Source organism: Homo sapiens, chromosome 7, assembly GCF_000001405.40.
Source record: "Homo sapiens chromosome 7, GRCh38.p14 Primary Assembly".
Taxonomy (NCBI): Eukaryota; Metazoa; Chordata; class Mammalia; order Primates; family Hominidae; genus Homo; species Homo sapiens.
In genome coordinates this window covers 116,659,217-116,672,151 of record NC_000007.14, presented here as the reverse complement: position 1 = coordinate 116,672,151, position 12,935 = coordinate 116,659,217, and the positions used below count along the sequence as shown (strand labels likewise).

General features: G+C 39.8%; 1 long non-coding RNA gene across 2 annotated transcripts in view, besides 2 other annotated features; it reads left to right on the top strand.

The window, feature by feature from the left end:
• The window catches only part of COMETT (cytosolic oncogenic antisense to MET transcript), a 124,434-nt gene that overhangs the window by 15,876 nt on the left and 95,623 nt on the right, over nucleotides 1-12,935 (top strand). For both annotated transcript variants that reach the window (NR_165032.1, NR_165033.1), the window contains exon 2: nucleotides 8,111-8,413. This is a non-coding gene — a long non-coding RNA (cytosolic oncogenic antisense to MET transcript). The remainder of the gene's footprint in view (nucleotides 1-8,110; nucleotides 8,414-12,935) is intronic.
• Nucleotides 39-168: a silencer, noted in NCBI's record as "silent region_18561". NCBI's record gives its function as "represses an Ori minimal core promoter by ATAC-STARR-seq in GM12878 lymphoblastoid cells {active_cell/tissue: GM12878}" and the evidence as "EXISTENCE:reporter gene assay evidence [ECO:0000049][PMID:35858748]".
• Nucleotides 299-348: a silencer, noted in NCBI's record as "silent region_18560". NCBI's record gives its function as "represses an Ori minimal core promoter by ATAC-STARR-seq in GM12878 lymphoblastoid cells {active_cell/tissue: GM12878}" and the evidence as "EXISTENCE:reporter gene assay evidence [ECO:0000049][PMID:35858748]".

The window sequence follows — 12,935 nt, the reverse complement described above, 5'->3', positions numbered from 1 at the left end:
GACCGCTGAGGTGGGGACTGGCACCACCCAGAGGGAAATCGGCCCCCGCCCTTCCTGCCGTCCGCGCCGCGCCTGGCCCCGCGGGGGTCGCGTTTCCTCCCGCCTCTGCCCCGCCCACGACAAGGTGAAACTTTCTAGGTGGAGAAGTTTTCTCGCCCTGGCTGCGCGCTCTCCTCCCCCAGCTCAGGCAGTCTGAAGTTAGCACAGCCGGAGATAAGCGGGACCGAGTCTCCCCCTCCTGGCGCTTGGGAGGCGAGTGTCACCCCGGGCTCAGATGCAGGGCGCGCACCCTCCTGGCACCCCGCTCGCTGACCCCGGGAAGGGCGCGAGCTTTGCTCTCGGCCTCTCCCACGTCTCCGCTAACCGCCCCGCGCCCACCCGGGTTTAGAGAGATTTGGGCACCGCAGAAACAAGGAGTTCATTGTTAGAGGCGGAGGTAGAAGTGGATGGACGAATTGTCCCAATGATTTCATTATGCAACGATTATCCTCTACTATAATAACTCAAATTTCTGCAAGGAAGAACAACAGAGGAGTTTAACCCTGAGGAGACTTCCATTTCTTTTTTTCTTTTTTTTTTTTTCCATAGCCGGAAGCAGGCTGATTAAATAACTGGGCAAATAGCGATGAATAAGCACAACAGAACAAAAGTTTAATTCTTGAATGTTGAAATCTTATGATGATTTTTAAAAAAGAGCTTTTGGGGCCTCGGTGAACTCTATTAGGAGTAATTGTGTTGGGATAACTTTGTATTTCGCTATAAAAATTGGCACCTACAAGAGTAAATGAACACTCAAAGGTAATAGGATCTAAGGAACGGGCATTGCCGGTTAGAACTTGAGTTCGTTCCGGCTCTCATACCAACTTGTTCAATCATGGCAATAGATAATGAGACATAGATATCTTCGTTATTGAAAGTCATGGGTTAAAATAACAGTTACTATGCAGGTTCAGTTCTTATTTACTACAGAATGAAACATAGAAAAATGTAGTAAGAATAGTTATCATTTCCCAAGTGCCAGGCACTTGGAAATGATAATGTAACCAGAGGTTACATAAGAGTGATTTCAGTCCTCAAAAGAGATTACCTCTTGATTCCCCAGTTTTATGGAAAAGGAAAGTTCCCATTACGTTACTAAAGTCTTGCATTGAACCATTTTGCAGGTAAAGAAACTGAGTCCCTAAAAGTTCCCAGGAGAGTCACATAGCTGGTTAGTAAGAGGGGCAAAGTTAGAACTTAGCTTTCAGCCCAGTCAGGTGTCCTTCACACCATACCAAGAGGCCTCAGCAGGCTAAATAAACAACGCGGCCTGACTGGAGATTTCCTGATACGGCATGGCATAATTTATCAATGACTATAGCTCATTAAAAAACACTAATTTACTGGTAATAAGGCACTGGGCCTATTTATGGACAGATCAATTACAGATTTTGGGTTCAGTAACAGCTTTCAATAAAAGATGAATAAATTAATGAATTTAAAAAGTTTTACACACACACACACACACACACACACACACACACAGAGCCATAGTTGTCTAAAGGAATGATTAGAGTGCTGTTTCTATTTCCTGGTTTCCATAGCAATATGTTAACTGGATTTTTAGATCACATTATGTAGTTGCCTTAACAGGTTTTCTGAGTTTGAGTGCCATGATAAAAATATAAAAGAAAAAATTTACAATTAAAGTTGTAGAAAGACCCAGAAAAGCCAATGCAAACTGGAAAATAAAATAGATGATAAATACAAACAACCCGTTGTGTATTTTCAGCACTGAAACTTTCTAGTTTCTAATAACTAACAAAATTTCAATCCAGTTTTGAAACTGTATTGAAAATCATCATTTCATTTATCAACTGTAAATAAGGAGATAACATTTTATGAAATAACATAACTAACAATAGCATAACTAAAAGTATCTGGGTGTGTGAAGGTCAAGTAATTTTTACACACTACCTAGACAGATTTGATTGGGAAAATGTTTACAGATAATTTCAGATTTTTGGAAATGAATGGAAACAGATATTTTAAAAGGTAATAGGAGTTCTATAATTCAATTTTGGTTTTGCAGCAAACTTTTAATTGTTGCTATTTAACTTTCCTTGGGTTCATGTCATGGGTGATACACTGTATGATGAAGTTCTGTTGGTATTTTCTTAACCAAACCAAATCTCTTGTGGTCCACACTGTTGGCTGGCTAAGCCAGCATCTGTTCCCAACGAGATTTTCCTGTTCCTGCCTCCACTCTTGGGGCTTGAAAAGAGAAATATTTGCTTTCCCAGACTCCTTTGCAGCTAGACATGGCCATGTGATGTCATTCTGGTAATGAGGTATAAGTTGAAGTCTGATGGGGCCTTGTGGGAAAGGGTTTAAGGCTGGTGCCACCCCTTTTCCTTTCTTGCTTCTTGATTTCATATATGATGCCCAGTGAAGAACTAACCATCTTGTGACCAGCATGCAGAAGTTGGTGCTGACATTGCTGAGGTACAGCCCTACTGCCAGTAGACACCTGCTTCCAGATTTCTTGTTTTGTGGAAAAAAAACAAAAACAAAACTTGTTCTAGACACTGGTAGCTGGGACTTCTGTCACCTGCAGCTGAAAGCAATTAAAACTGATAGACCCCTCAAATTGGGAACAACATCTCCAAGACTGAGTTGAGCATAATAGTTAAGAGTTTTAGAACCAAACAACCTGGATTTCAATCCCAGCTATGTCTCTTGCTAGCTGTGTAGCTACAGGCCAGTGGATTAAACTCTCTCGTGTCTCATCTGTGAAATGGGGATCATGATAGGGTTATTGTGAGGATAAAATGAGGAGCTACAAGTAGAGCACATGGAACAGTGTCTGGTAAAATATAAATGATCCAAAGGCATAAGCAGGTCTTATCCATCCACCTGTGGATAACATAATGTTGAACTACAAACAGGATCCCATCTCTTAACTTTGAGATGGGTCTAGTGATAGCTGTGACAAAGAGACAGAGGAACAGCCACCTCCTGCTCTAATATGCTCTATCTTTTTTTCCCTCCCTTTAACACATTAAAATTTGGGTCTTTGAAGGCACTCTTGAAGTTGGTGCTGTTTTTGAAATAAAAATGAAAGCAGTCTCCTAAGAATAGGGGCTTCATGCTTGCAATGTATGGTGAATAGGGCCCACAGACATATACAGGTGCACAGAATGTTTTTAAAAGTGTGAATTGAGGTAGAAAGACCATATGATCTGCTGTTTGCCATTGACCTACCATCTTCTCTTGGGTTGTGTCTGGCCCACCTCTGATCTTGATTTCACTTTCTCCTGTAGGCATTAGGATCTGTGATCCCTGCCTTAAAGAGTAGTTACTCTGGAACTCCTTCTTTCACTCTGTTTTTCCCTTCCTCCTGCCCCATCACCCCTATTATTGTGCCTATGGCAAATGTCTCTACAAAAAGACAATAGAAGAATTCAGGTAATGTCACCTAATGTCATTTCTGAGCACAGATAAAATTTGGAAATGTAGGACTCCTATTACCTTTTTAGAGCTATGTCATGTATGTTCGAATGTTGAAGGTTTTGAAAATTCATGTGATAAAACAAAACAGCAAAACCGAACCAAAAACCAAAAAAACCCTTCTTAACTTTGCTTACCCTACCATCTCCCCAATTTAATTGACCACAAAATGCTTTGATTTTTCTTAATATCTTCAGTGTCAATTTTCTATAAAATTAGTTTTATAGATTATACATTTTAGGAAACTTCGCGTTAAAAATGGAACTGCCAGCTACAGAGGGTTAAAACTGGGCACTTTGGATATGAACTGCTTTTATGTTGATTTGTATTGGTCATTTATGTGTGGCTGGGCTGTCTAAAAATAAATATGCAATGTTAAGTTATCTAAAAATATGACTGAGCATACTTAATATTGAGGACAAGAACAAGACTGCTAGGCTACAAGCTAAAGTATCACAATGTTAATTAGAAGACCTAGGAAATTGTAGGCAGAAAAATTAAGAAAAAATTACCGTCTCCAACAGGGTGCTGCAATTTTGTTAGTGATTTGGTTCATTTTCACATCCAGCTTATGACCTCTCTCCTAAAATCAGGCAAAGGTATAATGTATTTAGCTGTCACTTATTAAATGTGTACCATGTATTCATCATGAGTCTGGAGCTCTGCTTACATCCTCATTAAAAGAACTCCAGAATAGGTATCACCCTTCTCGGTTTACATTGAGGGAAATGAGGCTCAGAGAGATCATGTAACCTATCCAAAGTCACACAGCTGTCTTAAGTCTGTGTCTTTCCAGAATGACTGCACTTCCATTATAATTATTTATTTATTTATTTTAATTGAGATGGAGTCTTGCTTTGTGGCCCAGACTGGAGTGCGAAGGTGTGATCTCAGCTCACTGCAACCTCTGCCTCCCAGGTTCAGGTGATTCTCCTGCCTCAGCCTCCTGAGTAGCTAGGATTACGGGCTCCCGCCACCATGCTAGTTTTTGTATTTTTATTAGAGACGGGGTTTCACCATGTTGGCCAGGGTGGTCTTGAACTCCTGATCTGAAGTGATCCACCCACCTCAACCTCCCAAAGTGCTGGGATTACAGGTGTGAGCCACTGTGCCCGGCCTCTGTTATAATTATTTTAAATTGTCTCCGGTTCTGTAGTGAATGATGCAGTCGTTTAACTGGGAGCAGTAGACCTATTTTTTTTAAGCTTTTATTTTAGGCTTAGGGTTACATGTGCAGGTTTGTTATACAGGTAAACTCGTGTCATGGGGGTTTGTTGTACAGATTATTCCATCACCCAGCTATTAAGCCTAGTACCCAAAAGTTTTTTTTTTTTTTGAGAAGTAGAACTTAAGGCACTCTTTCATTTTCCTTCTCTGTCTGCAAAGTCAGCCACAACCTAAGGCATGGCCACTTCTCTGCTGGCTTGATCATTGGGGACTGATGTTGCAGTGCAGGCCAAAGGTGCTATGCTGTCCATCTGTAGAACACTGCACAGGTCGGAGCCAGGGTCCTAGGCAGTCAAGCTGGCCTAAGTGGTGGGCTGTAGGTGCCTAGGACTCAGACCTGTGGGATGTGAAGAGGGACTGGAATGTTCCTTCTCTAGTGCCTCTGTTTTCTCAATTTCTGATCTCTCCTTTGGGAACCTAGGGAATGTGAGAAATAAAGGAAAAACCAGATGACAGGCAGTGAGAAGTCCTAAGAGAGGATATTTTGGAGAATCTCTGTCCTCTTGGAAGATGAGAAATTAAGGCCAAGACTTCCAAAAAGTCCTGGAAGGCTGCTTCCATAACTCTTTGACCTATCGATGCCTCTATCTCCAAAGTCATGTTCATTTATTTTTCTTTTCTTTCTCTGTCTTTTACCTTCTGGTAAATTTTGGGAAAGAAAATTTTCATTTTTATGCAGCATACTATAGCATCATTTCCAAATGAACTTATCCAGTCCATCTGTTAATTTAAACTTTGACACTAAAATAACCTATCTTGGAAAATAATGTGCCAAGAAAAATAAAGTGATTTTTTTTCATCGATCAGCATTTCATTAAGGATGGAGTTTAAAAATGTGTCTGTGAGTGTGTGAGTTTGTGTAATTACTGCAATTCTAGGTTTTATGGCTAACTTGATGTGTGCTTTGGTATTTAACCCCTGTGGATCAGTTTCTCCAGCTATGAAAACAGTTCCAAAGTCTGGTGAAAATAATTAAAAAATATTAAGTATCAACCAAAATTTTACTGAAGCCAGTCCATTTAAAGCCAATATACCAAACAATTTACTAATTGTAGTGTATGTAAGGGGACATTATATTAGAAAGTACTTCAGTGTGTGGTTCTTATTAACTACTGCCTTGTCCAAATATGATTAAGTACTTTATTCTATTCCAATAGGAATGATTTAATAATCAACTTAGGCATCTTTTATTTGGTGAGTCCAAAAGTAAATTAGACCATTTAAAAATGGCTACAAAATTTAACAGTTTAAGAGGGAATATATAGGTCTTATGGCATTGAAAAGGGATAGAATGTTTGGAGAGTTTGATTAGAATCAATGTAACTATTATACATGACTAACATATTTAGAAATATGATTAAGATAGTTGTATTAAAATGCTTTCCAATAATTTTGCACTGGCCAGGGTTTGAGCTTTCTTTCTTTCTTTTTTTTTTTTTTTTTACATCATTAGAGCCTAAACATAATTACTATTAAACTATGTCCAAAACATGTAGAAGAAATAGCAATAACTCTGGGTTAACCTTGGTTAGCTGATGAAGAGTTATTAAAAAAAAAAAAAAAAGAACACAGACAAACTCTGACCAGCCAAGGGTCGCACTCAGAAAGTTGGCAGTGATGCAAACTGCTTAGGACTTTCAGTTTGTTGACTTATTAGAAACATTCCTGCCTTTACTTACAAAATCCAGTGAAATTCAACCAAACTATTCCCGAGAGGCAATTGCAAACTAACCTCTAGAAAAAAGCTGTCAGACCTGATAAAATCATCTGCAAACTTTCATGCTTATGTTGAAGGAACTTTCAAGGAGTGTATAACCTGAATTAGAAAAGACATCTTTTTAAAGCTTTCCCTGAAGTGTCTGGTCCATCTGTTGTGGGCTGAGCTCCCTGTGTTGGAGCTGTTATCAGGTTCTGTCAGCTCTCCTATTGCTACTGTTAACAAATGGATTTGTCTCCCCAAAGTTAAGAACAACCAGATGTTTCCTTTGTTGTTCTGTATTCCAATGGCAGGTCAAAAATATGTTTAAACATCACTGGTGAAATTGAGATTTAGAAATAATCTTATTAATCTGATCAATGAGGTCATATGATTTAGGGCCATTTCAAGATTTAAACTGAATTTCATTATTTGGCCATGTACATGTATTGGATTACCCCCAAATTAATTTTTTTTTTGGTAAATGTAAACCTATGTTTTATGGGAATCATAATTTGTATGGAAGCAGCTATAAATATGGAATAAAATATTTAAACATGTCAGATCTTGTGATTCATCAATTAATTTCTTAACCAAATGTTTATTGAGCCCCTACCATGCACCTGGGAAGTGTTAGTGTCTGGGACTACAAAGATGAATGAGATGTGGTCCTTAACATTGAGGAGCTCACAACTAGCACAGAAGACAGACATGTAAATCAGCAGACCTGGTACAGCATGGCACATGCTATCCACTGTTAGGAGAATGTTATGGACTGACTTTGGGGATTGGGAGAAGGTGAGGAAACAAGGAGGACACCACAAAGAAGGTCATGTTTGAGTCAAATCCTATGGGATGAGAAGGAGTTTGTCAGGCAACTGTATTTGCAAGGGGAGGAAGGCACACAGACTCCTGTGTTGACATAATCCTATAATCAGGGTTTTACAAATAGTTTAAAATAGTTGGGGCACAGTGCATTTGGGATTAGGACAGGAGAGGGGCTAAAAATGTAGGTGGGGGTCAGAATATATATGAGGGGTCTTTCATATCACACCAAGAAAGATGTATATGATAGGTGATACGGAGTCACTAAAATAATTTAAGTAAAATAAGCAGAATTTTACATTTTAGAAAGATTCATGTGGTTTAATGGAAGGTTTGGAGCAGGGCGAGATTGGAGGCAGGGTGGCAAGAGAGAGGAGCACTTCATTAATGCGGGAAAGCAAAGAGGAAAGCTTGATAGAAGGCAGAGACTGCTGGGACACAGGGCAGTGAGGAAGGTCAGATGGACACTTAGGGTGTGGAATACACAGGATCACTTAGAGGTAGTGGTAACTGAGCAGTACTCAGAAAGATTGCTTTTTGTATACACGGAAAGAAATGTCATGATGTACACCATAAATATATATACCATTTTTATTTGTTAGTTATGCATTAATAAAGCTGAGGGATAAAAGATTGCTTTTTGTTTGTTTTATTTATTTGTTTTTGTTTAATGGAAGCCTGGGACACTATGATGCATTCATTTTGTACTTGTTGCATTTGAGGTGAGATATTTACTTGCGCCTGCCTACAATGAGCTGCTGGTGATCTGGCGGTTAAGTCAAAATACCAATCAATGTGCCAGATTGTTCTATTGTCTACTTGGTTATGTTTGGGACTATGTTTTTCAGACTCTCCCTTTCTACATAATTTCAGATTGGAGTTGGTCCAAAGGGAAGTTGTGAGTTCTGGGAGGCAGAAGGAAAGCAGCTGCCATGTTCTGAAGGTTATCAGCACCTGTTGGTGATAGAAACAGACACAGAGGTGTTAGCAGGTTCCTGTTTGTCCTCGCACCCCCCTCCCTCCTGATGGTGACCTTGTCCCAGGTCTTCTACCAGGCCTTCTACCAGATGCTTTGCTGAGAATTCACAGAGGCCGTAGACCTGAAGAACCAACAACCTTCCATAGGCTTTGAGGTCCCACTCCGGCAGCAGGACGTGCTGGCTCCCAGGAATCACTGTAAGTTCTGAGTCGTCTGTGGCTTTTCTCTACCGTTTTAACTCCACTTTTCAGAATTTTACCTTCCCTGCTCTTCCCACAATTGTGCAAGTTCCAATTCCTATAATAAATTTCTACTTCCATATCATGCATAGTGGTTTTTCTTCCCTGGTCGAATCTTTTTAAAGTGACAGCCAAAGTGTATTTTTAAACAAAATCCCTTAAACACATATTTTATACCCAAAACCTTCATTACTTGAAATTGTTTTGATTTTGACAGTCTGATTTTTTCCCTGACTTTCGGATAGTGATCACTAGTGCGGAATGATGATCTTAATATGTCCACACATGAGCAATTATCAGGAGAGCTAAAAAAAAAAAAAAACCTCAAGAAAATTCAACATTAGGTTCTTATGCTGTTGAAAGAAGTTGTGTGTGTGTATGAATGTTTTAATATATTCCAGTGTTCTAGAACTATCTAGGCTAGAGAGCCAGGCATGAAAGATTGCAGATGCCTCAGAGATAGGGAAGGAGGACCAGGGCAGACAGTGGCAGGAAAAGAGGTTTCCTCCTGCTGGCAGATGGTGTCCTTCTAGGGGAGGAGTGCATAGACTCTTGTAGAAAGAGCGGCTGTGGAACAGAGGTCCTGATGCTACTGGCTCAATGACGATCCCTCCGTAACCAAATCAAACATGGAACTGAGTAGGGGATACTGCCCAGACCCTAGAATAAGCGATTGGGTTGCTCATCTGGGTCCACTCCCACTCTGGAGAGAGGGTGGAGTTTAAGTCCAAGGCTGGTAATGAAAAGGTGTCAAACTTGTTGTTGGTATTAGGAAATGAGATTTGACCTAGAAAGGTGTGTGCTCTGGTGGTTCTTTCTTGTTTTTGTTTTGCTTTTTGCCTGCCTTCCAAAACCAGTGAAGGAGAAGCTGGGTGTTTCCTAGCCCAAGAAGAGAGGCAGTGTTGCAGCTTTGCAGGCAAAGGCAAAGGCATCGGCCTTGTCAGTCTCTTCCGTGGAGATGGCCTTCCTTCTTAAATATTTGCATGGCACACCCTGATTCCTCCTTCAGGGTCCAAGCCTAACCCTGGAAAGCTTCCACCACTGGTCCTCTCCCTGGGGAGGCTGACAGGTTGCCTCATCTGTTTTCCCACTGGCACTTCATATTCCTAATTTAGCCTATCTCACAGTGTATTACAATTAGCCATTTAAGTGGCAGCATAATCCAATAGTATATTAATTTGTGAAGTTTTTTTTTTCTCACTTCTACTTCGTGGATCAGAAAGCAGAAGGCAAAGAAAATGAGAAGCGCTGTCACTGAAGGCAGGGTGAAGTAGGAGGTCTCCCATCTCCTTTGGAGTATTGGGTATTCGGAAGGGACTGCCGTGCTGCAGATGCAAGCTGACCCAGCTCCGCATTTGCGTGGTTAGGCAGGGCACCAGAAATTACACCCTTTCAATCAGTTTGCCTGTAAACCTTGATATCTATGTATACACAAAGTTTTTGAAATTCATAAGCAAGTCTAGAAATTGGACTGTGTCCTCTGCAGACACTCTGCAGGCATATCAGGACCTGGAGGCTGTGCTCAGGGAGGAGAGCCTTCATGTGCATGGCTTGTAGATTTGCTCAGCCTCCCACTGGTTAGTTTTCTGAGGTAAACCCCCTTTATGGGCCTGATGACCCCCTGACCTTTGCTGGGTAATTAATAATCTTCTCCTTCTCCTGGGAGACAAATAGGATTAACAAACTGTGACAGTGTCTGTTATTCTTAAGGAAGTCACACTTAGCTCAGTGTCTCCTCCCAAAGGGTATATTATATATCTTACACAAAAGCAAAGTCATGCAAAATGTGCAAAATTCTTGTGACAAGTTTCTTTGTCCAGATAACATGCTCTCTAGCTGTTTTCTACTAGACAATTTAAAGGTATTCACCATTTAGTTTCTCAAATGAGGCAAGAAAATTGGGATTGGATACATCCATTAAACCTGTCGCAGATGAGGTAAAGCATGTGATTGGAGGATGCCGGTAAACCTATCTCACGGGTCTGAGGGAGGAGAGTTGTTGCCTGGATGTCACCCAGGACTTAAGTATACCTCTCCCCTTGGAGGGTTTGCTGATCATTCTCAGGGCCTTTGGCTCTAGGAGAGGGACCATCCCTTTTGCCACCCTGAGACCAAGTCAGCCATGCCTGCTAGGGCTCTTGGACTGCCCAGGCAGACAAGACTTCACATCAGCCTGTGATTGCCCTTTGGGATTCTGCAATTACTTTCTCATAATGAAAAGAAGCTAAACAAGCCTGACCTAAGAAGGATCCCTAATTTTCACAGTACTCTAAAACATGTAGCAAGGGCTTGGTTTTTGAAGGGCAGCATAATCTTTCTGGAGGAATGTTTATACTTAATGGCTGCGAAATCATATGGTCATTCCAGGTACAGGGAACAGCAAGTGCAAAGGCCTTGAGACAGGACCATGTCTGGCATCTTTGAGGATCATAAAAGAGGCCAGCATGGACAAAGAAAATAAGTGAGGGAACCAGTTTCAAATATATTTGTCATAATTATTCTAAATAAGTCAGGAGGTCTTTATTTAGTAAATGATCTTTGATAAGAGAAGTAGAAAAAAACATCATGGTAAATTCAATAATTTTTCTTTCTTGCTCTGAAAATTACCTATTTTAGCTCTAGCTCTGAAAATTTGCTAGTTAACTTACTAGGTAACTTCTGGCAAGTTACTTAACCTGTGGGCTTTTATTTCCTGCATGTAAAATGAATAATTTGGCACATGTAATATTTCATACCATATTTGGCTTTAAAAGCTGATCTTGCATTGGGTTATCTTAATACTAATTAGTACTTCCATTAGAAGGCTTGGGTCAGAGGAAGTCAAACTTAAATCAGTAAATACTGGTGCTCCTTCAACGTCTCTAGAAGGGTTGGTTAGAAGAGACTCATACCTCTAATGTTCATCTATAGATCCTAAAGTTCTTCCATGTTTATTATACTCATAGAGAAAAAGATCACAGGCTTTACCCAGGTAATGTGGTTCCCATTTGACAAAAATAAGTGAGGTTTTAATATAGCTGTGGTCATCTCAAGTGAATAATTAATACAACTTTTGGAGCTTTTAATGTACAATTATATGGCATAGCTTACCAAAAGTTGAATGAGCACTCTTAGCAATAAAGAGTTTATGGAACAACTTCTTAAAAATCATTCAACTTCAAATATACTACAGGGCTATAATAATCAAAATGGCATGGTACTTGTACAAAAACAGACACATAGACAAAGAGGACAGAATAGAGAGACCAGAAATAATGCCACACACCTACAATCATCTGATCTTCGACAAAGATGACAAAAACAAGTAATGGGGAAAAGGAGTCCCTATTCAATAAATGGTGCTGGGATAACTGGCTAGCCATATGCAGAAGATTGAAACTGAATCCCTTCCTTAAACCTTATACAAAAATTAACTCAAGATGGATTAGACTTAAATGTAAAACCTAAAACTATAAAAACCCAGGAAGATAACCTGGGAAATACCATTCTGGACATAGGAACCGGCAAAGATTTCATGGCAAAGATGCCAAAAGCAATTGCTACAAAAACAAAACATGACAAATGGTATCTAATTTAACTAAAAAGCTTCTGCACAGCAAAAGAAACTATCAACAGAGTAAATAGACAACCTATCAAATGAGATAAAATATTTGCAAACTATACTTTTGACAGAGGTCTAATGTCCAGAATATATAAGGAATTAAACAAATTTACAAGCAAAAGAAGAAAAAAACCCAACAATTCCATTAAAAAGTGGGTAAAGGACATGAACAGACACTCTTCAAAAGAAGACATACATGCAGCCCACGTGTGAAAAACTTTCAGCACCATTAATTATTAGAGAAATGGAAATCAAAACCACAATGAGATATCATCTCAGACCAGTCAGAATGGCTATTACTAAAGAATAAAAAAATAACAGATGCTGGCAAGGTTGCAGAGAAAAGAGAACACTTATACACTGCTGGCAGAAGTGTAAGTTCAGCCATTGTGGAAAGCAGTGTGGTGATTCCTCAAAGAACTTAAAACAGAATTATCATTTGACCTGGAAATCCCATTATTGGGTATAAACCCAAAGGACAATAAATTATTTTACCATAAAGACACATGCATGCATATGTTCATTGCAGCACTATTCACAATTACAAAAATATGCAATCAAACTACATGCCCATAAATGGTAGACAGTATAAAGAAAATATGATATATATAACACCATGGAATACTATGCAGCCATAAAAAAGAATGAGATCATGTCCTTTGCAGCAACATGGATGGAGGTGGAGACCATTATCTTTAACAAACTAACACAGGAACAGAAAACCAAATACTGCATGTTCTCACTTCTAAGTGGGAGCTAAATAGCAAGAACACATGGACAGAAAGAGGAGAACAGACACTGGGGCCTACTTGAGGGTGGAGGGTAGGAGGAGGGACTGGATCACAAGAAATACCTATTGAGTACTAGGCTTATTACCTG